Source organism: Homo sapiens, chromosome 7, assembly GCF_000001405.40.
Source record: "Homo sapiens chromosome 7, GRCh38.p14 Primary Assembly".
Taxonomy (NCBI): Eukaryota; Metazoa; Chordata; class Mammalia; order Primates; family Hominidae; genus Homo; species Homo sapiens.
In genome coordinates, this window is record NC_000007.14 from 106,545,495 (window position 1) to 106,571,557 (window position 26,063).

The following is a 26,063-nucleotide window of genomic DNA, read 5'->3' on the forward strand; positions in this document are numbered from 1 at the left end:
GAGATAGTGGCCATGAAAACGAGGATGGTAGCAGTGGTGATCTGACAGTGACACAGTTTCACATAGATTTAAAGGTGAAGTCAGCAGAACTTGCTGATGTATTACATGTGAAAAGCGAAGGAAACAGAGGTATAAATAATGACCTCTGAGATTTTGAATGTGAGATTGGATGTAGCAATAATTAAAGAAAAGTTTCTTGAGACATTTTCCTTTCTAGGGCGTTTGTCAAGGTTTTTAAGATAGGTATCCTTTCTACAAGATAGGTGATGTTCTACAAGATAGCAATACTTGATGTAACAGATATGGTAATCACATAAAGTCAATGTTTGTCTTTTTTTTCCACTATGTACAGCATCCGGTATATAGTAGATGCTCAGTGTCTAGTCATACCCCTAGAATGGGATGTTATCTTCTGTATTTTGGATTTACATGTATTTAGGAATCTACAAGAAAAGCCATAGTCATTTCACCAGAACCTAGACATTATATCAACTGGCTTGAAAATGGTAGTTGAAAAGAACTGAATCACTTATTGAAACACAGAGCTCTCTAACTAACTGGTACTACATACCTAGTGGGCTATCCTCATTGGTACTGAAGACAGTGCTTTTTAGAGAATCTTATAACACAGTAAGGACACCTTATTTTTAAAGAGAATTAGGCCAAGATTTCTTTGTGAATAGAATTCCTATCATAATGCCTCACTTGATGAGGATGGGAACAACAGATGTACATGTTAATATAAAATTAAAGTTTAACTTTAAATGTCTACCAGCCACCTTTTATCACCATCCTTCCAAAGATAGTATCTCCTCCAGCTATAGTTTGACTTTGCCTCACTTAGTATATTTCCTTTAAAACACTTATCACATTTTATTAGCTTCGTTATTTATTGGTTTGTTAATTGCCTGACTCTTCCATTTGATTATAAACTGTGCGAGGACAAGGACCTTGTCTGTATCAGGTACTGCTGTAGTTGCAGCAACTATTACACTGCTTGGCACACAGTAGGATCTCAATAAACATTTGCTGAATAAAAAGATTGAGTATTTGATGAATGATCATAGAAAAGGGCAATAGGCCAGACAGGTATAAAAGGCATTTAACAATTTATCAACCTAGCAACACCTCACGTTTTATCAAATAAACAGCTACTCTACTGAGGTCTACTAAACAATGCTTTGTAAATACAATACATAAACAGCTTCTATTTAGCATGCTGAAGAAAATCTTGCTTGAGAGGTGGGTGACATGGTCCTTCTGTAAAATTTTGAAAAGGCTTTTCATTTGTTGGAAATAGCAAAACCTACTCTAATTCATGTAGGAAAAAATAAATAGGTTAACAGATGTTAGATAGCTCATAGAGTCTCCAGTAGGCCTAGAGAATTATACTTGGAGGCTACTCAGCTAGAACATCTAGAACATACCAAAAGACAACTCCAGCAAAAACCCTGTTTCCCAAGGACAAATAAAGCAGCTTGTACCAATGACACTGTGCCCTGGATGCTATAGGCTCACCTGCTGCTCTCCCCTTAGTCAGGGTTGTCCAAAGAAACAGAATCAATAGGGTGTGTGTGTGTGTGCATGTGTGTGCGTGTGTGTGTATGTTTTCATCTACTCATTTCTCATAGGAATTGGCTCATATGATTATGGAGGCCAAGTAGTCCCACAATCCACAATCTGTCATCTCCTGCTGGAAAACCAGGAAACTGAAATTCAGTCCAAGTTCAAAGGCCCAAGAACCAGGAACACTGATCTCCAAGGGCAGGAGAAGATGAACATCCTAGCTCCAATACACAGTGGATTTGCATTTCCTTTCCCTTTTGGTTTTATCCAGGCCTTCAACAGATTGGATGATGTCCACCGACATTGGTGAGAGTAGATGTTTTTTTACTCAGTCTACTGATTGAAATGCAAACCTCTTCCAGAAATGCCCTCACAAACACACCCAGGATAAATGTCCTACCAGCTACCTGGGCATCCCTTAGCCCAGTCAAATTCCATAAAATTAACCAGCACAACTCCCATAGCAGAACACAGGGATAGCCACTATTTCCAAAGCATACTTTAGATAGTGATTTTTTCTTTACATCACTGTCCCTCAAAATGAAGCTTTATTTGGGTATACCTGATACGAGAACTGGGTCACATTTAGTATCAGGTAAAGGTGGCAAAGATTTCTTCCTTGGGAAGACTGGATTCATAACATGGGAAATTACTGAAAGTAAGAATGATGGTCAAATAAGCTGGTAGATGATGAAAACATGACACATCCATTATGGCCCATCATTTATTTCACTCTCCTCCACACTCAAACTTCCAGATTATAACTACACTATCAACACTAAAAACAAAATGGTCATGTCAATATAACCCAGCTCTCCATTGTTACAAACAAAAGCACACTTGTCCCCTCCTTAAAGATAGAGAAGATAATGTTTTATGCCTAAATCTGGCTTTAAGTCCAGAATCTACAGGTGATATACATCTCTCCTCTAATTCTGTTATATCTGTATTCTGAATCCAATAAACTAAACCATAAAGTTAACCAATACATCCTATTTTAAAAAAGAGGAAAAATGGAAAATTATTTAAAATATATACATATTTAAATGATACAGTAAGAAAAAAATATGGGTAGATACAATAATCCTCTTTTCTGCATCTGTTCACAAGGCTGTGGCTGATATTTATGACTTCTGTCCTCCACTACCCATTCCATATTCTTTGTCCTCAGTCAGCACCTCGGGTGGTTGGGGTTCTTCTCTTGGTAGTTTGACTCACGTCATCTTTTCTCAAGGATTGAACTCTGGCTAGTCCTGCCTATGAGAGATTGCAGTGGTCTTCCAAAAACTTTTACTACAAGATATGGGGTACTGGGGGTACTACAGGGGAGCCAACATAATATTAATAGCAGGAAAACTAACCACGTCAGACCTGCCCCATTGTGTATAAAGTACACTATTTTTCCTTAGTCATTAAGAGCTCACCCTGGTTAATTCTTTTTTATTTTTTGCCTGTTTATCCAATGACATTAGGAGGTCAAGATGTCTGGGTAGCTGTCTTACCTCCAATTCAGCAGAACCACTGTCACATGCCCTGGTGGAAGCATCCCTTCTTTGGGCACTTGTGCTCTATCTACCCCAGCAGGGGCCAGTGTCATGGGGATAAGAAGCAATATTTTATGAGTCTATCATGAGGAGTAATAGTGAAAGGTGCCACTTCCACTTCCATCCTCAGTTTCCTGGCACATGATTTGGCCAAGGGTACAACTGGTAGAGTATTTATTGTATAGGAGTGAAAGAGGCCTTTGTCAAATTTGTTTTCACAAAGTTTATCAACAGCTTATTGTTTATAAAGCCACTGAACCATGCTTTAAAATGATTAATTGTCAGAATTCAATATTTTTCCACATGAATTTGTGTTACCTTTGGGATTTTTCAATAAAAATGCAACTGTCTAAAATCCCTAGGCATTATTTCAGTGATATCATAATCATGGAATCAACAGAGGATGAACCCATGAAAATATAGAGAATCTTACACTTCTTTTAGAAATTGGGTATCCACATGAAGAAGTAGAAATGTGACATTATAACTACCATTTTGGAATGATGCTTTGTATTAGTCAGCTTAGCCTAGATTGATGACAGCCCCCAAATCTCAAAGGCTTACAACAGCAACCAAATATTTTTTGGTCACAGTAGATGTCAGCTGCATTAGCTATGATTCTGCTCTCCATTTTCAACCTAGGACCAAGTTGGAGTACCAGCCCTTTCACATCTTGGGATATAAATCTCAAGTGGTGAAGGGGAAAAAGAAAGAAAATGTTAGAACCTCATGAAGGCTCTTAATATCTTTCACTAAAATGCCATGTGTCACTCTCACCCACATTGGCCAAAGCCAGTCAGAGGGCCTGATGTGGAGTAGGGAGCATCTTGATGCCAGTGGGAGAGGAAGCTTATGCCTCTCAAATAATTGGGAACAGTAATGCAAGCTGTCCCATGCCCTGACATGAATATTTACTCCACTCAAGGCAAAGTAGTGCAATCTAAGCTGAAACTACTTTAAAAATGTTTAAAGCTTTTTATTTGGTTGGATAAAATAGATTTAAAAGAACAATCTTAAATCTTTTCTTGGGGCAGTACATTTTCTTAATATTTTTCTTCCATAAAAGGCAGTAATCAGGAAGCTTTTATTATCATAGTTGATTGGTTTTAGAACTTCAGTATAACAGTGCCGTCCAGAGCATGAAGAAGATGGCTTTTCAGTCTCTGTTGGTACATCGTCATGAGCCCTAGGATTTACACAAGAGAGTTTTTACTCACATTAATATTCTGAGAGGTTAAGTAAATTTCCTGAGGTCGTGGTCATATTAACTGGTGCATAATGGATTCAAACCAAAGATGATTCCAATATTTAATATACTAATCTTTCCATTTCATATTGATAAAGAAATCCTTGTTATTTGCTTGTTACTGTGTGAGATAAGAAGTTCCATGTTTTCTGTATGTCTTTAATGATCTTCAACCTCCTTTGGGACTCTACTTAAGATAAGCCTATGTCCTTAATTATGTCACCATGGATTCTGCCCTGGTGTATTCTGCCTTATGTTTGTGATTACATAGTTTGACTACAAGCTTGGAAAAGAAAGACCTAATATGATGCCTTGAATCAGCTGCCACTACATATACCAGAATATATTGTATTGCTTCCACTGAAAATTTTGATGTTATATTTCATTAATTCACCACTCTGGGTTGATCGAAAAGTACTCTAAGATTCTGTAACAGATCTATAGTTACTGAATGTGTGTGAAAGGAACAAATCAAATTGTTTTCCAGCTTGCAGGATGAATTATCTTCCTATAAAGGGTACCTATTATAAGGAAATTTTTCTTATAAATTTCAGCAGGCAGCTCCTAATTTACCTTATTCATTTTATACAAAACACATTGAGAAACTGTTTGCATGAAGTCATTGATTAGAAGTTACGTCTGGAATTGCTGTTTTAAAATACTCTAAAGGGATATCTTTTATAGGCTTTACTACTTAACACAGCCCACCAAAGAATGTTTCCCCATGAGCAATAACTAGGAATCTTAGTTTAACATATATATTGAATTTCTAGAATTATTTTGGCAGAGGAACACTTGCAATAGATACCTCATCAACAGGACTTTAAATAGCCTTGCCGACCCAGGGTTTTTAAAAAAGAATTTGGGGAGATCAGGAACTTAAAATTATTCTAAATGTCATCTGAAAAAAATACATACATGGAATGACCTGGAAAGGAGGAGGAAAAGGTAAAGGAGAAGGAAATAAAGAAGACTTGTTTGCCAACTAGAAAAACATTATTATAAAGTTACAGAAATTAAAAACCATCACTGAGCCAAAAGCAGGGAGACAAATCAATGTAACAGAATACAATGCCAAAACAGTCCTATAAATATGAGAATTTGGTATATAATAAGGGTATCATTTCAAATCTGTAGAGAAAACATGGTCCCTTTAATAAATGATATTGTGAAAACTGGCTAGTGTTTTAGGGTAAAACATTTGGATTTCTGTATCATTCCTTTGCCAAAATAAGTTCTGAATGGATCAATGACTTAAATATTTAAAAATAAAATTAAATATAAAAAGTACTTATTATGGATTAATATTTTTATCATGTAATTTCCTTGACTTTTCTGCATTTGTTGTTAAGGTGCATGTTTCATCGAAGCAAGGACCATCTTTACTTCAGTCACCATTGCATCTGTAATTCCTAGCATATCATCAGGCGCCCTCAGAAAATAGCTGTCAAAGAGCTAAATGAAAAAATTAATAGTTTACCAGACATAATTACTAGACACTATTGTTTCTTACAGTGGTCTGCATATCCATCTGTCCTGTTTAAGAAACTTATGGATAGAAGGGAACCTAACCATTCACATTCATCACTTGTAGGGAAAAGATCAATGAAAAAAACTAAATATCTCCTGAGGTCGATTATGGGGGTAAATAAGACTTGGGTAGGCTTCTCACCACTCAGCCAAAGAATACAAGCTTAACAAGAGTCAGTTATGTTGAATTACTGACATGCTGACATGCTGAGATTTTGCCTTTTCTATCCCCATCAGATTAACTGATAGCTTACAAGGCAAAACAGAAATCATTCTGGAGTCTCATGTCTACACCTGAGCATCAGTCTTTTTTTTTTTAACCCACAAACACTGGTCTTTGCAAGGTACTATAGTTCACTCCCCTGTCATAGAATACCTACATCTCTGTTATACATGACTTATAATGAGACTCTTCAATATGGCATTCTCTTGTTGATCAGCTGCCATGGCATTCATTCAGTATGGTAGAGAAGAGCACATTGATTGTTATTGCTATTGGCTAAATTTCCTGACACCTTGTCAGAATGACAAATGAAGGAAGCAGCAAGTCCTCACACAACCATGACTTCTTAGGCAGCATCACCTGGGGTTTCAACACCAGTAGTTATAGCAGGTAGACCATGAGCTTTGGGCCAAGACATGCCCAGTTCCAAACCCTAATTTAGACACATCCTAGAACCACAACAAGGTTTTTCCTTACTTGAAAGACTTTGTCAAAGGCTTGTTCCTGCTAGCTGACTCACTGCTGATACAGGACACGAGGAACCCCAGACATCCCACCATTCCTCATTTGGTGTCTGCCCACTTACACAGAACCCTGTCTGCCTCTTCTCTTGAGCCAGGCCCAGGTGGTAGGGAGCCACATTAAGAATGGTGGACAAAGAATGATAAACTCTCTCAAGCCCATTCCAGGACAATCCAAGTAATCTAAAGGAGGATTCATACAGGAAAACAAGTTAATACAATTAACCAGAATGAAGGGGTAAACTAGAGAGTTGGAAGGAAAGAGAGGAAAAAAACATAAGCAAAAGCTGAATGGTTGGGTGGTTCAAGGCCTAGATACTTTCATTAGGCCTGGAATTAAGTGGAAAAGCAATTCAGCTGCCTTCTGCATGAGAGAAAGAGAGAGGAGCCCGCATAAAGGCCATTTATGGTCCAGGACAGAGAGATGAAAGAAAGAGAATTTTTAGAGCCTGACAGAGAAGTTAGGAGGGAACAGTAGTAAAAAAGAGGGAAATTAGATAAGAAGACATTTTGAAGAAACACATAATTTGTTTATGTTTAAATATTTTATTCTTTGTGTGGTCTCAGTGGAAAATTGCCAAAGGGATGATGTGTTTTACTTGCTTCACAAAGGGCCTTGCACAGGGCCCCATGCACGCTTCCCATCCTTTATGGCTGACTCCTGCAATACATGTCCCCTAAACTCAGAGAACTCCCTTGAGGATCTCTTGTGTGGCCATTGCCCACATTGCTCTGGGATATCATGAGCATTGTTGCCTTGTACAGCTTTGCGGTTTACAAGAGAGTCGCTAAACATTTCACCAAAGTCATTCTGAAGATCCCCTTTCAACAGTTTCATGCAATGGCGATTTTCACTTCTGCAAAACTGCAATGAAGGCCACATCATCTTTTTTCAAGGTCTGTGAGTCACTTGAGATTATGGCTGTTATTAATAGACTGCAAAATCAACCATCTCCTTCTTCACCTCAGCCAGTCAGTTGAGCATTCAATATGTATTGAGAACCTATAATGCCTTTGCCTTCAAGAGGCACAGGTCAGTTCTGTCCTCAAGAAGCTGCCCCCAAGGTGTCCAGCTATGTTCCTATCTGGAGGGAGGAGAAGGCCATCCTTAATCTTTGGGGCTGATGAGTCCAGCGCTTCTTCAACATTTCCTGTCTCATAAACCCCTCCCCTCCCATTACTTTCTCTGAAAAAGTAATTTGATATTCTGGGAGAAAGGAGGAGTTTGGAGGGCAGGAGAGGTTTCCCACACCCCCAAATCATTCCAAGATGTCACTAAGGGCAGTCCTCTTTAATTCTTCATCTGCTGCTTTGGGGCATCTACCATTTGCTCAGTGGCACCATCTCACATGAAATCAAATATCCTCAAAATCCATCAACTGACGTCTTCTGTTGGAAAGGGATAACTTGGGTCTACTTCATTGGAACCTTCAAATTTAAGACTCTTGCCTAAGACTGTGGGTTGCTCTTCCATTACCACACCAATCAAATCAGCTGAATCTTAGAGAGCAGGGCTCTGAAGGAATAGAGGAGGGGTGAGAACACGCCAGGGGAGGACAGCAAGAGGTAAAAGATAAGTCTTTGACAGTCAGATCCCTGAGTACTAGGAGTGGACGTTTGGAGGCTCACTGAAAGGGAGAATGGAAAGATAAAAGACACCATAGAGCCAGGATGAACTCTGTCTACCACTGCACTTTGATGAGGTCCTGCTCAGTACATAGCTTAGAAAAATTCAAAGTCAAGTCAGGTCCCCTAAACCCTACCTAGCTAGGAATCACTGTATGTTCCCCTCCCTGAGTCATTTAAGTTGGCATAGGGGCAAACCAAATTTGGGGATGGTTAAAAGATAAAAAGGTGATTGATTTCCATGTCTATAGTTGTCATCTTACTCTAAGACCTCCCATAGTTTAGGGTATTATCAGTGTTATTAACTTTATTGAGCTCTCCTAGTAAACTAGACGTTTCAGGAATTGTACATACACAAAGTCACAACACATACACATCTGCATTTGAAATTCAGAAGCTGATGAAAGTAGGCCATACATGGGATGGGTCTCAAATCCCTTTACATGAAGAAAAGTCAGAGTAGCCGCCAAGGCACTCCTCACTCCTCACAGAGGAGTTGGGATTTTGGCAGAGGCCCAGGATGGGCACAGGTGTCAACTTCTCAGAAGTAGGTATACCAGAAAGAGAAGCTGGTAGGGGGAGGAACACATATGCTCTAAGACCAGCACTATCCAGTAGAAACATAATGGCAGCCACGTAGAGGAAATTTTAATTTTCTAGTAAACACATTAAAAAAGCAAGAGAAATATTAATTTAAAAGTATTTTCACCTATATATCAAAATATTTCAACATGTATCCCAAACCAAAATTATTAATGAGTTATCTTACATTATTTTCATACATTTTATTATTATTAAAGTTCTAAGGTACACGTGCACAATGTGTAGCCTTGTTACATATGTATACATGTGCCATGTTGGTTTGTTGCACCCATCAACTTGTCATTTACATTAAGTATTTCTCCTAATGTTATCCCTGCCCTAGCTCCCCACCCCACAACAGGCCCCAGTGTGTGATGTTCCCTGCCCTGTGTCCATGTGTTCTCGTTCAACTCCCACCTATGAGTAAGAACATGCAGTGTTTGGTTTATGTCCTTGTGATAGTTTGCTTAGAATGGTTTCCAGCTTCATCCATGTCCCTACAAAGGACATGAACTCATCCTTTTTTATGGCTGCATAGTATTCCATGGTGTATATGTGCCACATTTTCTTAATCCAATCTATCATTGGTAAACATTTGGGTTAGTTCCAAGTCTTTGCTATTGTGAACAGTGCTGCAATAAACATACATGTGCATGTGTCTTTATAGTAGCATGATTTATAATCCTTTGGATATATACCCAGTAATGCGATCACTGGGTCAAATGGTATTTCTAGTTCTAGATCCTTGAGGAATCACCACACTGTCTTCCACAATGGTTGAACTAATTTACACTCCCAACAGTGTAAAAGCATTCCTATTTCTCCACATCCTCTCCAGCATCTATTATTTCTTGACTTTTTAATGATCACCATTCTAACTGGCGTGAGATGGTATCTCACTGTGGTTTTGATTTGCATTTCTCTGATGACCAGTGATGATTAGCATTTTTTCATATGTCTGTTGGCTGCATGAATCTCTTCTTTTCAGAAGTGTCTGTTCATATCCTCTGCCCACTTTTTGATGGTTTTTTTCCCTGTAAATTTGTTTAAGTTCTTTGTAGATTCTTGATATTAGCCCTTTGTCAGATGGGTAGATTGCAAAAATTTTCTCCAATTCTGTAGGTTTCCTGTTCACTCTGATGATAGTTTCTTTTGCTGTGCAGAAGCTCTTTAATCAGATCGCATTTATCTATTTTGGCTTTTGATGCCATTGCTTTTGGTGTTTCAGTCATGAAGTCCTTGCCCATGCCTATGTCCTGAATGGTATTGCCTAGGTTTTCATCTAGGGTTTTTATGGTTTTAGGTCTTACGTTTAAGTCTTTAATCCATCTTCAGTTAATTTTTGTATAAGGTGTAAGGAAAGGATCCAGTTTCAGCTTTCTACATTTGGCTAGCCAGTTTTCCCAACACCATTTATTAAATAGGGAATCCTTTCCCCATTGCTTATTTTTGTCAGGTTTTTCAAATATCAGATGGTTGTAGATGTGTGGTGTTATTTCTGAGGCCTCTGTTCTGTTCCATTGGTCTATATATCTGTTTTGGTACCACTACCATGCTGTTTTGGTTACTGTAGGCTTGTAGTATAGTTTGAAGTCAGGTAGTGTGATGCCTCCAGCTTTGTTCTTTTGGCTTAGGATTATCTTGGCTGTGAGGACTCTTTTTTGGTTCCATATGAAATTTAAAGTAGTTTTTTCCAATACTGTGAAGAAAGTCAGTGGTAGCTTGATGGGGATGGCATTTCACGATATTGATTCTTCCTATCCATGAGCATGGAAGGTTATTCCATTTGTTTGTGTCCTCTTTTACTTTGTTGAGCAGTGGTTTGTAGCTCTCCTTGAAGAGGTCCTTCAAATCCCTTGTAAGTTGGATTTCTAGGTATTTTATTCCCTTTGAAGCAATTGTGAATGGGAGTTCACTCATGATTTGGCTCTCTGTTTGTCTGTTATTGGTGTATAGGGATGCTTGTGATTTTTGCATATTGATTTTGTATCCTGAGACTTTGCTGAAGTTGCTTATCAGCTTAAGGAGATTTTGGACTGAGGCAATGGGGTTTTCTAAATATACAATCATGTCATCTGCAAACAGGGACAATTTGACTTCCTCTTTTCCTACTTGAATACCCTTTCTTTCTTTCTCTTGCCTGATTGCCCTAGCCAGAACTTCCAACGTTATGTTGAATAGCAGTGGTGAGAGAGGGCATCCTCGTCTTGTGCTGGTTTTCAAAGGGAATGCTTCCAGTTTTTGCCCATTCAGATGATATTGGCTGTGGGTTTTCATAAATAGCTCTTCTTATTTTGAGGTACATTCAATCAATACCTAGTTTATTGAGAGTTTTTAGCATGAAGGGGTGTTAAATTTTGTTGAAGGCCTTTTCTGCATCTATTGAGATAATCATGTGGTTTTTGCCGATAGTTCTGTTTATGTGATGGATTACATTTATTGATTTGCATGTTGAACCAGCCTTTCATCCCAGGGATGAAGCTGACTTGATTGTGGTGGATAAGCTTTTTGATGTGCTACTGCATTCAGTTTGCCAGTATTTTATAGAGGATTTTCACATTGATGTTCATCAGGGATATTGGCCTAAAATTCTTTTTTGTTGTGTCTTTACCAGGCTTTGGTATCAGGATGATACTAGCCTAATAAAATGAGTTAGGCAGGATTCCCTCTTTTTCTATTGATTGAAATAGTTTTGGAAGGAATGGTACTAGCTCCTCTTTGTACCTCTGGTAGAATTGGGCTGTGAAACTGTCTGGTCCTGTTCCTTTTTTTGGTTGGTAGGCTATTAATTATTGCCTCAATTTCAGAACCTGTTATTGGTCTATTCAGAGATTCAAATTCTTCCTTGCTTAGTCTTGGGAGGGTGTATGTGTCAAGGAATTTATCCACTTCTTCTAGATTTTCTTGTTTATTTGCATAGAGGTGTTTATAGTATTCTCTCACGGTGGTATTTCTGTGGGATCAGTGGTGATAACCCCTTTATCATTTTTTATTGAATTTATTTTTCTCTCTTTTCTTTACTGGTCTTGCTAGTGGACTATCCATTTTGTTGATCTTTTCAGAAAACCAGCTTCTGGATTCATTGATTTTTTGAAGGGTTTTCTGTGTCTCTATCTCCTCCAGTTCTTCTCTGATCTTAGTTATTTCTTGCCTACTGCTAGCTTTTGAATTTGTTTGCTCTTGCTTCTCTAGTTCTTTTAATTGTGATGTTAGGGTGTCAATTTTAGATCTTTCCTGCTTTCTCTTGTGGGCATGTAGTGCTATAAATTTCCCTCTACACACTGCTTTAAATGTGTCCCAGAGATTCTGGTACATTGTGTCATTGTTCTCATTGGTTTCAAAGATCATCTTTATTTCTGCCTTCATTTTGTTATGTACCCAGTAGTCATTCAGGAGCAGGTTGTTCAGTTTCCATGTAGTTGTGCAGTTTTGAGTGAGTTTGTTAATCCTGAGTTCTAATTTGATTGCACTGTGGTCTGAGAGACAGTTTGCTGTGATTTCTTTTATATTTGCTGAGGAGTGTTTTACTACCAATTATGTGGTCAATTTTAGAATAAGTTCAATGTGGTGCTGAGAAGAATGTATATTCTGATGATTTGGGATGTAGAGTTCTGTACGTACCTATTAGGTCTGCTTTGTCCAGAGCAGAGTTCAAGTCCTGGATTTCCTTGTTAACCTTCTTTCTCATTGATCTACTAGTGACAGTGGAGTGTTAAAGGCTCCCATTATTATTGTGTGGGAGTCTAAGTCTCCTTGTAGGTCTCTAGGAACTTGCTTTATGAATCCGGGTGCTCCTGTATTGGGTACATATATATTTAGAATACTTAGCTCTTCTTGGTGAATTGATCCCTTTATCATTATGTAGTGGCCTTCTTGGTCTCTTTTGATCTTTGTTGGTTTAAAGTCTGTTTTATCAGAGACTAGGATTGCAACCCCTGCTTTTTTTTTTTAATTTTTTTTCACTTTCCATTTGCTTGGCAGATCTTCCTCCATCCCTTTATTTTGAGATTATGTACATCTTTGCACATGAGATTGGTCTCCTGAACACAGCACACTGATAGGTCTTGACTCTTTATCCAATTTGCGAGTCTTTGTCTTTCAACTGGGGCATTTAGCCCATTTACATTTAAGGTTAATATTGTTATGTTTGAATTTGATCCTATCATTATGATGTTAGCTGGTTATTTTGCCCATTAATTGATGCAGTTTCTTCATAGCAACGATGGTCTTTACCATTTGGCATGTTTTTGCAGTGGCTGGTACTGGTTATTCCTTTCTATGTTTAGTGCTTCCTTAAGGAGCTCTTGTAAGGCCGTCCTGGTGGTGACAAAAACTCTCAGCATTTGCTTGTCTGTAAAGGATTTTATTTCTCCTTCATTTATGAAGCTTAGTTTGGCTGGATATGAGATTCTGGGTTGAAAATTCCTTTCTTTAAGAATGCTAAATATTGGCCCCCAGTCTCTTCTGGCTTGTAGGGTTTCTGCCGAGAGATCCGCTGTTAGTGTGATGGATTTCCCTTTGTGGGTAACCTGACCTTTCTCTCTGGCTGTCCTTTTTTCCTTCATTCAAACTTGGTGAATCTGACAATTATGTGTCTTGGGGTTGCTCTTCTCAAGGAGTATCTTTGTGTTCTCTGTAATTTCCTGAATTTAATGTTGGCTTGCCTTGCTAGGTTAGGGAAGTTCTCCTGGATAATATCCTTAAGAGTGTTTTCCAGCTTGGTTCCATTCTCCCTGTCACTTTCCGGTACAGCAATCAAACGTAGATTTGGTCTTTTCACATAGTCCCATATTTCTTGGAGGCTTTGTTCGTTTATTTTCATGCTTTTTTTCTTTAATCTTGTCTTCTTGCTTTATTTCATTAATTTGATCTTCAATCACTGATCTTCCACTTGATTGAATTGGCTGTTGAAGCTTGTGCATGCGTCACAAAGTTCTCATGCTGTGGTTTTCAGCTCCATCAGGTCATTTAAGGTCTTCTCTACACTGTTTATTCTAGTTAGCCATTCGTCTAACCTTTTTTCAAGGTTTTTCATCTTCTTTGCGATGGGTTAGAACACACTCCTTTAGCTCAGAGAAGTTTGTTATTACCGACCTTCTGAAGCCTACTTCTGTCAACTCATCAGACTCATTCTCTGTCCAGTTTTGTTCCCTTGCTGGCAAGGAGCTGTGATCCTTTGGAGGAAAAGACCCTGTTTTTTGGAATTGTCAGTTTTTCTGCTCTAGTTTCTCCCCATCTTTGTGGTTTTATCTATCTTTGGTCTTTGATGTTGGTGACCTTCAGATGGGGTCTGTGAGTGCACATCTTTTTTGTTGATGTTGATGCGATTCATTTCTGTTTGTTAGTTTTCCTTCTAAGAGACCCCTCAGCTGCAGGTCTGTTGGAGTTTGCTGGAAGACCCTGTTTGCCTTGATATCACCAGTGGAGACTGCAGAACAGCAAATATTGCTGCCTGATCCTTCCTCTGGAAGCTTCATCCCAGAGGGGTACCCTCCTGTTTGAGGTGTCTGTCGGCTCCTACTGGGAGGTGTTTCCCAGTCAGGTTATACGGTAGTCAGGGACCCACTTGAGGCAGTCTATCTGTTCTTGGAGCTTGAACACCATGCTAAGAGAACCACTGCTCTCTTCAGAACTGTCAGACAGGGACGTTTAAGTCTGCAGAAGTTGTTTTCTGTCTTTTGTTCTACTATGCCCTGCCCCCAGAGATGGCATCTATAGAGGCAGTAGGCCTTGCTGAGCTGTGGTGGGCTCTACCCAGTTTGCACTTCCTGGCCTCTTTGTTTACACTGTGAGCTACTCAAGCCTCAGCAATGGTGGACGCCCCTCACTGCATCAAGCAGCAGCATCGCAGGTCGATCTCAGACTGCTGTGCTAGCAGTGAGCAAGGCTCTGTGGGCGTGGGACCCACCAAGTCAGGCACAGGAGGGTATCTCCTGGTCTGCAGGTTGCTAAGACTGTGGGAAAAGCACAGTATTTGGTCAGCAGTGTACTGTTTCTCCAGGTACAGTCTGTCACAGCTTCCCTTGGCTAGAAAAGGGAAATCCCTCCCCCAACCCCTTGTGCTTCCTGGGTGAGGTGATGCCCCATCCTGCTTCAGCTCGCCCTCCATGGGCTGCACCTACTGTTCAACCAGTCCCAACAAGATGAACCAGGTACCTCAGCTGGAAATGCAGAAATCACTCATCTTCCGCATCGATCTCCCTGGGAGCTGCAGACTGGAGCTGTTCCTATTCAGCCATCTTGGAAGCCATACTACGTTTTGGAAATTCGTGTTATTTTATACTGACAGTGCATCTCACTTTGGACTAGTCACCTTTCAAATGCTCAGTAGCCATGCCCTTTTTCACTTTAGCTGGCTGGCTGAGGTGAAGAAGGGCATGGTTGATTTTGTGGTCTATCAACAACTGCCATAATCTCAAGTGACTCACACAACTGGAAAAAAAAATGGCATTATGTGATATGTGACCCTCATTGCAATTATAGGCAGTGGCTACCATACTGGACAGCATAGAACCTATACCATTACCATTATAGGCTATTCCGAAGGTGGATAAAGGCAGCCATGAGGCCCAGGCTCATGTTCCAGAATCTGTGTCCAGCACAGGTGGCTTTGCCAGGCACACCAGGTAAGTTCTAGGCCAGTGCTTCTCACCCATTTTGAAGTGACACATTGATGTGCCACAATCAGTTCTGAGGTATGCTATAATGTGTTACTAATGGTTTAAGGTACCAACAATTGCAAATATTTAAAGAGGATATTCAACATTATTTATCTCATTCATTTGTATATTGACTTTCCTTTTAAGTGGGAGAGAAAGGGGTGCATTTATGGCCACTGTATGGGAAATTGTGTTTAACCCTTGCACATGACCATGGGGGTATCATCTGTGTGAACACTCATTCATATTTTGTTGCAGAAAAAAGTAGATAAGTACAAAGCTTTCCTAGGAAGTCTCCACACTTGTTTAATACCTTTACACAAGCAGGTTCTTGATGAATATGGGGCAAGCTGGAAAGACCCACTGAGTCATCTAAGCCCTGTTCTGCTGGCTTGCCCCATTTTACTATATTCTGCAATGAAATCACAATGTGCATTGAGCCTGATCCCCAACCTTTCTTCCTGCCAAAAGTGATGGAATTCTCCCTGTTCTTATGGGTACAAAAATTCTAGAAAGAAAGATAGTGGTGGATAGTGGTGCTTCAGATACTTTTTGGATAACATATTTTTTAACATTCAGACTTCTCCATGTCCTTTAATTCTATCTACTCAAAGTGTGGTCCTCAGACCAGAAGCACGAGCGTCATGTGAAAACTCTGTAGAAATGCAAAATTTCAGGTCCCAACCCAGACCTGCTGAATAAAAATATTCACTTTACTAGGATCGCTAGGAAATTCCTGAGCACATTCAAATTGAAAAGCAGTGTCTTAGCCACATTTCCTGGGTGCTCATCTCAGTTTCCTGTGATTTAGGCAGGCCTTTCCCTGGTGCCCATCTGAGTAATGGGCCTGTTTGAGCTATGTCTCTTCTAGAAATTGATATAGTTACCAGAGTATATAACAGGAACAGCACACAAACTTGGGAACCGCAATGGTTAACTTGGTATCAATTTGACTGGGAAATGGGTGCCCAGATTTGGCTCAACATTATTTCTAGGTGTGTCTGTGAGGGTGTTTCCAGAAGAGATGAATGTCTGAATAGGTAGACTGAGTAAACTGAGTAAAGCAAATGGCCCTCCCCAATGTGTGTGGGTATCATTCAATCTATTGAGGATCCAAATAGAACAAAAAGGTGAAGGAAGGAAGGGAGAATTCCCTCCCTCTGATGAACTGCTTGAGCTGGGACATCAGTCTTCTCTTGCCCTCAGACTGGGACTTACACAGTCAGCATTTCTGGTTCCCAGGCCTTCGGACTCAGACTGGAACTACCCCCTCAGGCCTTCCTGGGCCTCCAGCTTGCAGGCAGCAGATCCTGGGACTTAGCCTCCATTGATGGCGTGAGCCAATTCCTTATACTAAATCTCTTTCTAGATATATAAATATATCTTACTGGTCTGTGTGTCTCTAGAAAACCCTAATACAAGAACTATCTCCAGGCTAGAGATTGGTTGGTTCTCTTCATTCATCTCAAGCCTAAGGAAACATCCACATAGAAGTCTCAAGTTGTGGATAGATAGGCCAGCATTTACTGTACTCCCATCTTGGCTAAGGAATAGATCCTGAAAAACTCAGAGGGAAATTCAAGTGCCCTGGCACTTCCAAGCCAGTTTTGCAGCCTGCAGCATTTTGTACTTCTCCACGACTTGCTGACCACCCTCCAGGATCCTAAAGCACCCTTCATGTGTGTTCAGGTTTCTAACTGAACTCAAGACCCCTGAGACTGCTCCTGTTCATATTGACACACAGCTAGACAGTGGGCTACTGGGCTAAAAATGTGACAATTTCTCATTCGAAACCCAATTGAGCCTTTAATCCCAGCACTTTGGGAGGCTAAAGCAGGAGGATCACTTGAGCCCAGGAGGTCAAGGCTGAAGTGAGCTGTGATCATACCACTGCACTGCACTCCAGCCTGAGAGACAGAGTGAGACCTTGTCAAAAGGAAGGAAAGGAAGGGAGGGAGGGGAGAGAGGGGGGAGGGGAGGGAGGGAGTGAGGGAGGGGAGGGAGTGAGGGAGAGAGAGAGGGAGGAAAAGAGGAAGGAAGGAAGGAAGGAAGGAAGGAAGGAAAGAAGGCAGGCAGGCAGGCAGGCCAGCCGGCCTCAATTATTATTTGGAGTCCTCTGAAAGCTGAAGGGAGATAAAAGTCAATGGCACAAGAACACAAACTCACTCTTTTGGGGTAGAACCTGTGTGATAAGCACAGCTGCTGAAGTGACGCAAATCAGTTAAAGAAGGCAATCAGCCAGACCTCAAATCATCACATCTAGTGCTTAAAAGAGAGGACACAGAAAGTACAAAATCTTTCTTGTAGAATGATCAAATAGAAAATTGAAGAAAGTTATTTTAGATTTTTTTAGACATTTATTATTAGAAATAAACACCAATGTAATACTTGTCACAGGTAAAATCTATCCATGGATGCTAAAATTAATGGGTAAGAGTATAAGAAACAGAACGTTTAGATAGTTTCAACGTATCTTTGTGCAAGTATTTGTTAATTACAAGGAGGAAAATATCAATTTTACAGTGGAGAAGCCTGGCAGACACAACCTTAAGGGAGTAATCAAAGTTAGCATCACCAGAAATAAGACGTATTGACTTCATTTGCCCACTGGCACGATGCCAGCATCTCTGAGAACAACACTCAGCCTGTAGAGATTCAACATCAAGCCTAAGGCTTTCCACACACTGGGTGCAACTAGTCTCCTCTTTCTACTGTTTATTTAAGGTTACAGGTTGGATCTAATTTGGACACTTGCCCAGACCATTTTCACAAGAACTCTTAAACCCATCTTCCTCTGGGTCCTTTGAGGAGAACTTTGAGGCTCATAATGAGATCCACCATATTTGGACCCAAAGGGTAGTAGTTGCTACCCTGCATTCCTTAGGGAGAAGCAGAGAACCCACTTAAGAGAATAGCAGCCAAGAGTTAAAAGCACATGACTCACCCCAGAGGCTCTGAAAAATTTCTAAAAAGAGGAGAATCCAGCCCAGATTCTGGTATATAGTGGAGAAAGATGGTGTTAAGAGAGCAGAAACTACCCTTGTGTTGGCATAACCACAACGCACAGAGCAGACTAGGAAGACTCAGGCACAGAGAGCCTCATCAGTGTCATCCAAGAGCAGGCTGACTTTGGTTATTGAATGAGATCAAGAGCTGGGGACTGAGGAGTTGGGTGTGTGTGCCAAGCATGTCACCCCTGCATGTCATGTAGCAAGTGCTCATGGCTTTTGGTACATGAATGAACCAATTAAACTTAATTAAATGATTAAGCTTAATTAAGCTATAATCCAGGCTTTTGATTTCCCAGCAGTGGGTATAGCTCAGGAGATTTGGATTTTATCTATTTAGGGAAACTTCATATAAACGAATGTACAAATCCGATCTTAGCCAACAGAGAGGGTGTTAGTCTGGGGGAAAATACATTTTATTTGGTTGGCCCGCTTGGTCCATCTCATTGTAGCCAAATCCAACAATGAATAATTTTGTTTGGTGGCCCCTGATGCAGTTTTGCATTCCTCCATGGGAGGAATGATGAGTGCTCTCAAATTTTGTCAGGCAGACTGCTGCCTCCCTTTCCGCTCTGGGCACATTCTCACAAACTCAAGGGACCTGGAGCATCAGGGCTTCTCCTGGCTTGGTGTTAAAGGTACACTGACACATGCTATCTTTGACCCTTCACACAGGACTCCATGGGACACCAGTCTTCTATAGTGCAATTCACTTGTCTTGACCTTCTTGCTCATGCAATTTGACCTTAGCTACCTTAGTCCTATGTCCTTTCAGTCACCTATTTTTTCTGGGAGGTGACATTAATAATCTTTGATTATTAAATCTTTTATATGGTGGTTCTTCTTCATTTCAATCTCAGAGGATAACTTTCTAAATTCCTTTTTATATTTTATTTAACTCTTTTTTTGAGACAGGGTCTTGCTCTGTTGCCCAGGATGGAGTGCAGTGGCATGATCATGGCTCACTGCAGCCTCCGCCTCCCTGGCTCAAGCGATCCTACCACCTCAGCCTCCTGAATAGCCAGGACTACAGGCACATGTTACCAAGCATAGCTAAATTTTTTTCTATTTTTTGTAGAGATGAGGTCTTGCCATGTTGCCCAGGCTGGTCTTGAACTGAGAAGCCATCTGCCCGCCTCAGCCCCCCAAAGTGCTGGGATTACAGGCGTGAACCACCATACCCGGCCTGTTTCCAAGTTCTTCTTACTTTGCTCTCTTTTAATTATCTTTGTGTCAAAACATAGATCAAAATTTTCTGTTACATAATATGGGACCCCTCACACAACTGTCAGTGCTGTATTAAGTGAAGACAAGAGGGATTCAACTTTTCACTATACAACTAAACTCTTTAAGAATTTGTCATCCAACAATTTTTCCTCTAGCCACTGTGAATTTCTTATGGTTCTTTCCTTAAGTTTGGTTACAATAATCAGACCTCCACTCAAATTGCTTAAGTAAAAAGGGAGAAATCTCAGGAGGTTACCTCTTACAGAAATATGACTTGACCACAAAAGAACCGGAACTAGAATTTGGAGGTGGTTCCTAAACCTGTTCTTTGCATTTCTGAGTGGTTGGATAGTCTGTCTCTCCTACTGATTATCAGGGATGACTGGTTACCTCATCTTCACAAATGGAGATGACTGTTTCCAACTCCTCTCACTTTGGTCACTTTTAGTGTGTGTGGCCCAACTTGCCACCAGCTCCACATCTATAGGATCTAGATAACCCCATGGCTCCATATTACAAAAATAATTTAAGATTAGCATCAAGATGTTTGCATAAGATGTTTGTGAGAGATAAAATGAGACTAAAATAAACACTGCAATGGTACTTATTAGGATTGAGGTGTAAATATGACTCTGAATTTCATAGGTTTTTTTGTCTTAGATAAGAAAGCCATGCGACAAGAGAGGCAGAGTCAGAGAAGATGCTATGCTGATGGCTTTGAAAACTGAAAGGGTCACAAGTCAAATAAGATGGGCAGACTCTCTGTCTCTGGAGTCTTCCTCAAGAAAACTTCTAGAGTTTTCCTAGCTTCTAAGCCAGGAAATGTGAGGAAACAGACCCTCTTCTGGAGCCCCCAGAAGGAACCAGCCCTGTGAATGCCTTGGTTTTAGCCCAGTAAGCTTCATTTCAAACTTCTGACCTCTAGAACTATAAAAGAATAAATTTGTGTTGATTTTTAAAAAATCTACTATTCTTTATATATAGACATACACACACACACACACACACACACACACACATTGTATTCACAACCTAGCGATGCTATAACAATACCGTAAACTGTTTAAAATAGAAATTTTTTGTCTCACAGTTTCAGAGGCTGGAAGTCTGAAGTCATGCTGTTGGCCGACCCACATTCCCTCTGAAACCGACAGGGGAATCCTCTGCCTCTTCCTGGCCTCTGCTGGTTTCCAGCAATCCTTGGCGCTGCTTGGCTGGCAGATGCATGATTCCAACCTTTCATCTTCACACAGCATTCTCTCCGAGCATCTTCACATCATCTTCCCTGTGTGTCTGATTCTGTGTCCAAATTTCTTTTTTCACAAGGCTACCAGTCATACCAGATTAGGGCCTGCCCTAATGACCTCATTGTAACTTTCTTATCTCTGTGAAGACCCTATTTCCAAATCCAGTCCCCTTCTGAGGGACTAGGGGCTGGGACTTCAACATATCTTTTCTGAGGGGACATAATTCAACCCATAAAACATACATCTACAGATAATTTTATGTAGAGGCCTAAATATGGCCATATGCATACATTTTCATTTATTTTTAGTGACTTTTTAAACTTCTTTTAACTGAGCTCTGTCCTTCCCTTCTTCTCCCTCTTTCAACGTCAGCAGCCTTCCCTCCTCCCCGACCATGGCAACCAATCTCAACAACCTAATATGCATCCTCTGTCCAGCTCTCTGTACTTAGATAATCCCATACAGATGTACACACACAGAGTTTATCATTTTTTCCCTCAATAGGATATATGTGCTCTTTTTTCCTTCAGTAGTATCTTATGGGAATCCCTCCAAATCATTTGGTTTAACTGTAATTCATATTTTTATTCATTAAAAATATTACTTTGTTTGAGAAATATTATAAATTATTAAGCCACTGCTTGGTTGATGAGCATTCTCTTTTTTCCTGTTTTTACTCTCTGAACAATGCTGCAGCAAACCTCTGTGTTCGTATGTCCTTAACACTACCCTTTTATTTCTACTGGGCTACACTCCAAAGAGTGCAATTGCTGGAACGAGGGGTACGTGTCCTTTTAATTTTAATAGATATTGTCAAATGTATTTCCCAAAAGATTTTAGCACATCACAGTTCACCAGCAGAGTATCAGAGTACATTCCTGTCAGGACTCTGAGCCCAAGCTAAGCCGTCATATCCCCGGTGACCTGCACATATACATCCAGATGGCCTGAAGCAACTGAAGATCCACAAAAGATAACATTCCACCATTGTGATCTGTTCCTGCCCCACCCTAACTGATCAATTGACTTTGTGACAATACACCCTCCCCGCCCTTGCGATAACGTACTTTGTGATATTCCGCCGCCCTCGAGAATGTACTTTGTAATATTCTCCCCCACCCTTAAGAAGGTACTTTGTAATATTCTTCCCATCCTTGAGAATGTACTTTGTAAGATCCACCCCCTGCCCACAAAAATTGCTCCTAACTCCACCGCCTATCCCAAACCTATAAGAACTAATGATAATCCCACCACCCTTTGCTGACTCCTTTTTCAGACTCAGCCCGCCTGCACCCAGGTGAAAAAAACAGCCTTGTTGCTCACACAAAGCCTGTTTGATGGACTCTCTTCACACGGACGCATGTCACAATTCCTATCTCCAACACTAGCATATGATATTATAGCTCTTTTCTCCAGTCTAAGTGTAAAATGGTGTTCTATTGTTAACTTCCATTTGCTTTTTTCTGACCACTAGTGAATATGAGCATGTGGGCTAGCCGTTTCAATGTCTGTGAAGTGTTTATCCTTTGTGCATCTTTATCTCATCATTTTGCCCTTTTCTCATCAAATTTAAGAGCTTTTATCATAGGCATAAACTGTCACTTGCATTACAAATGTACTTTTCTTATTTTGTATTAACCTGTTGACTTTATAATTTTAAAAGTCTTTCCTTTCCTTCTTTTATAGCTTCTAGTCACAGTTTAAAAGGTCTCTCCCACCCCTAGAATATACACATAGCCTGCCAGATTTTTAAACAATACCTTGTTATATTTTTTACATTTAAAATTTTAATCTGAAATGGATTTTTCCATGCGGCATAAGGAGTCCATATTTATTTTCTTCCAAATGGAGAGCCAGTTGGGCCAGTGCCATCTATCATACATCTTTTCCCCATTGTTTTATATTAAAGTCTCATTTATACTGGGATTTGTATCTGGCTATTTCTAGCAGCCACTGTAAAGAGGAAACACAAATGCCTGGAAGGGTAACCAACATTTTAGCCATTGTAATTTTGAGGTGTTGAGAATTTAGGTAATTATTCTTCATTGCTTTGCTGTATGGTTTTTTTCCATAATAAACATGCATTATTGGTGTTACAAAAATAAATGGATGGTGGGGGGCAGGGGGAGGACCAGTAAACACAATTAGTTTCATCATTCATAGTGTCTGTCCCGGGACAAATACAAGCCAGCAACTACCAGCAGCAGCATTGCTATTCCTGGAATGGAGACCTGAGAAGATTTTACCCTCAGGGAGAAATGTAATAGGGTTGTTCCCAGAGACACTGGAAAATCTCTTTAAATGCCAGCTTGCCGGAGGTGGGGACTGATTAAGTTTTGGGAAGTCATTTCATTCAGTAAGCTCATTGTGAAATAAGCATGAGGTGGTGATTTAATGTGTGATTGGCAGGCATTGCATATTCAAGCACAAGGAGTTTAATTGATTGGAAGAGCAGGTTGCCCTGAGCTGATGCAATAAATACTAAGGTTGAGTGTGCTGTTTGAAACTAGTGAAGTGATGCAATCATCTCCCATGTTCAGCAGCAGCCTAATTGCTGGCAAGAATTTAAATGCTTAAAACGGTACTTGGATGATTACAGAGCACATTCAAATTATGTAAAAGTGACCAGATCCCATAGCTCCAGGGCACAGCATCTGTCCTTAAGTGATAAGGGTCAGTTAAAGCTCTAAAACTGTAAACAGTGCATTGGCCCCATTGAAGCCCCTGGAGGAAATTTGCAGAGTCACAGCCATCTGCTGCCTAAAATAACAAGTAGCAGGGTCCCTTCCCAGCGCAAAATGGCCACCTAGCAGCACAGCCCAAGGTGACCTGCACAGGCTCCCAGCCTTTTCCACCTTGCACATTACCTTAGGGAAGGTCAAAGTATGAGTATTAGCCAAAACCTTCTACAGTCCCCTTGAAGGCCTGGGATTTGCAGGAACTAGTGTCTGCTGCAAATAAAAGTACATACTGGGATTCCAGTTCATGCCGGAGGAACCCTAAAACAGTAGTGAATGGTTTCCCCAAGCCTGCTTATGTTAGATATGAGTTCTAAATTTCAAAGAATATGTCAGTATGTTCAATTATTTGTCTTCTACTTTTAAACTTCCTCATAAAGCAACCTTTTCCGATTACATTCTCCACCCTGACTCATTCTGATTACCTGCTCTGTCATAACCATTTTTCCCGCCAAACCACTCACCCCCGCCACTCTCTTTAAGTTAGCCAATCGGAATTAGTTTAGCCTGTGCTGTCTAACCCTAGCCAATAGAGGAACGACACAGCAGAGGGGCCACGTGCCCATCAGGGACAAGAACCCCTTCCTTTCCCTTGTCCAAGTGTGCGCTCATCATTGCTCCATCTGTAAGGGCACACTCTTCTGTAGAAGTAACTTGCCTTGCTGAGAATTAAAAATAAAATTTTATATTCGCGTGCTATTTCTTTTGCGGCACCAAAACTTTATAACAATTAGAGTAAGTACAACATCACATTTCTTGGCACAGCTTTCTACTCCCCCCACCCCCCACCCAAGTGTGCAAATAGCAGAATGCCAAAGCTGGGCTCAGTAAGTCAGTGGGGAGCCAGAACTGAGTGGCCCATGTAGGCTGCTCGCTGAGGGTCTACAAACCCAAAGATAAATTTTAAAGTATCAGGATTACATCTCTTTCAGGTAATTCTCCTTAAAACAGAATTCTTCATAACTGAGTCTATAAACACTGTTGGCCCTCAGTGAGTTTGAGATGATATTCTATGATGCTGATGAAATACAAAACTATATTTCCACAGTCGGTTGATGCCCTCCTTATGACAGCCAGAGAGCCTCATGATGTCTCAGTGGAAGGCTACTCCACCTTCATCTACAGGTGGTCTGAGGGAGGAGGATCAGGGTCAGGGCCAAGAAATTTTGGGTGGGGAAGGGCAAGCAGGGACCCAGCAGTTTTTATCTTCTCCATTTCAACAGATCTTGAGGCTCTAGAGTTTTACTTGATCAGAGTCATAATCCCAGTCTTGAGCATTTTAAAGCAGGTGTTCCCACGTATCCACCTTGACCAATAAATAAAAATCTCCTATATGTCTTTTAACATAGAGAAATACATTAGAATTTCCTGGCCTGGAATACCTTCCAAGACAAACTGGTCAGGAGATAAAATGCCTAAATATTGGGGGCGTCTTCCAAAAATTCTAATTTTGGTTTTGGAATTATGTATATTGAACCCATTATTTAGCTAAGAAATGAATGACAGGATGAAAAGGGTGTTTCCCCTTCCAGGTGGCCAACAATTTTTGATTCCAAATATTTAATTAGGCTGGCTGAGTTTTTTCACTTGTGATTGGTTTTTTGCTTCTGTTTCCCCTTTCCTGGTTTTTGGCTGCAGAACAGTCCTTACAAGACTCAGCACTTGAAACTTGAGTCCCAGATGTGCCAGACTAAAATGCAGAAAAAAAACCCGATCTTTAAATTATTAGCAACACCCTTGATAGCAGATGAGAAATTTCCTCTTCAAAGACACAGGAAGTGGACTTGTATACAGTTCAAATGCAGCAGCAGGGCATTGAGAGAGTTTGAAAACCTCCAGGTCCTGAATGAACACAGCCTGTCCTCCAGGGTCAGGAACTCAGTGTCTTCCAAGGCCGACCTTCCAACTTGGTTGAACTCTATTTCCTGATGTGCTGAGATAACGCAATAAAGTTGCAAGTAGCCCTCCTCCCCCCGCCCCACACTCCCCCCCACACACACTCTTGCCTGTCCTCTCCCCAGTCCTACCTGTCAGGACAGTTCTCAGGTTTCCTATAAGAGAAACAGGTGGGAAGGCGGAGGAGAGGGATGCTTTGGTTGGGGAGAATGGTGCTGAGGGCAGCCCTGGCATGGGAATGACAGAGGGTAGGAAGTTGCTGAAGACTTCTGCATAGCCCTCGTGTGGAACAAGAAAACCAAGGGCTTTATTTATTCTGACCTGTCTTGGTGGCATAGACAGCGTCTGAGTGGACATCTGCTCTGTTCACCTGTCCATCCCTCATTCCCCCTTCTTCAGCTAAGCAGCTGGAGTTTTTATTTTGGGGAACCACCTCATTCTCAGACTATG

General features: G+C 40.6%; 1 long non-coding RNA gene across 3 annotated transcripts in view, besides 4 other annotated features; it reads right to left on the reverse strand.

Moving 5' to 3' along the window:
• Positions 7,377-7,676: an enhancer, noted in NCBI's record as "active region_26485". NCBI's record gives its function as "activates an Ori minimal core promoter by ATAC-STARR-seq in GM12878 lymphoblastoid cells {active_cell/tissue: GM12878}" and the evidence as "EXISTENCE:reporter gene assay evidence [ECO:0000049][PMID:35858748]".
• Positions 20,799-21,764: an enhancer, noted in NCBI's record as "H3K27ac hESC enhancer chr7:106206739-106207704 (GRCh37/hg19 assembly coordinates)". NCBI's record gives its function as "activates a minimal SCP1, AML or CMV promoter by ChIP-STARR-seq in naive H9 embryonic stem cells {active_cell/tissue: H9 hESC(naive)}" and the evidence as "EXISTENCE:reporter gene assay evidence [ECO:0000049][PMID:30033119]".
• Positions 21,765-22,730: an enhancer, noted in NCBI's record as "H3K27ac hESC enhancer chr7:106207705-106208670 (GRCh37/hg19 assembly coordinates)". NCBI's record gives its function as "activates a minimal SCP1, AML or CMV promoter by ChIP-STARR-seq in naive H9 embryonic stem cells {active_cell/tissue: H9 hESC(naive)}" and the evidence as "EXISTENCE:reporter gene assay evidence [ECO:0000049][PMID:30033119]".
• Positions 22,731-23,696: an enhancer, noted in NCBI's record as "NANOG-H3K27ac hESC enhancer chr7:106208671-106209636 (GRCh37/hg19 assembly coordinates)". NCBI's record gives its function as "activates a minimal SCP1, AML or CMV promoter by ChIP-STARR-seq in naive H9 embryonic stem cells {active_cell/tissue: H9 hESC(naive)}" and the evidence as "EXISTENCE:reporter gene assay evidence [ECO:0000049][PMID:30033119]".
• Positions 24,417-26,063, reverse strand: part of CTB-30L5.1 (uncharacterized) — a 28,937-nt gene continuing 27,290 nt past the window's right edge. For all 3 annotated transcript variants that reach the window (NR_187786.1, NR_187787.1, NR_187788.1), the window contains one exon: positions 24,417-25,650. This is a non-coding gene — a long non-coding RNA (uncharacterized CTB-30L5.1). The remainder of the gene's footprint in view (positions 25,651-26,063) is intronic.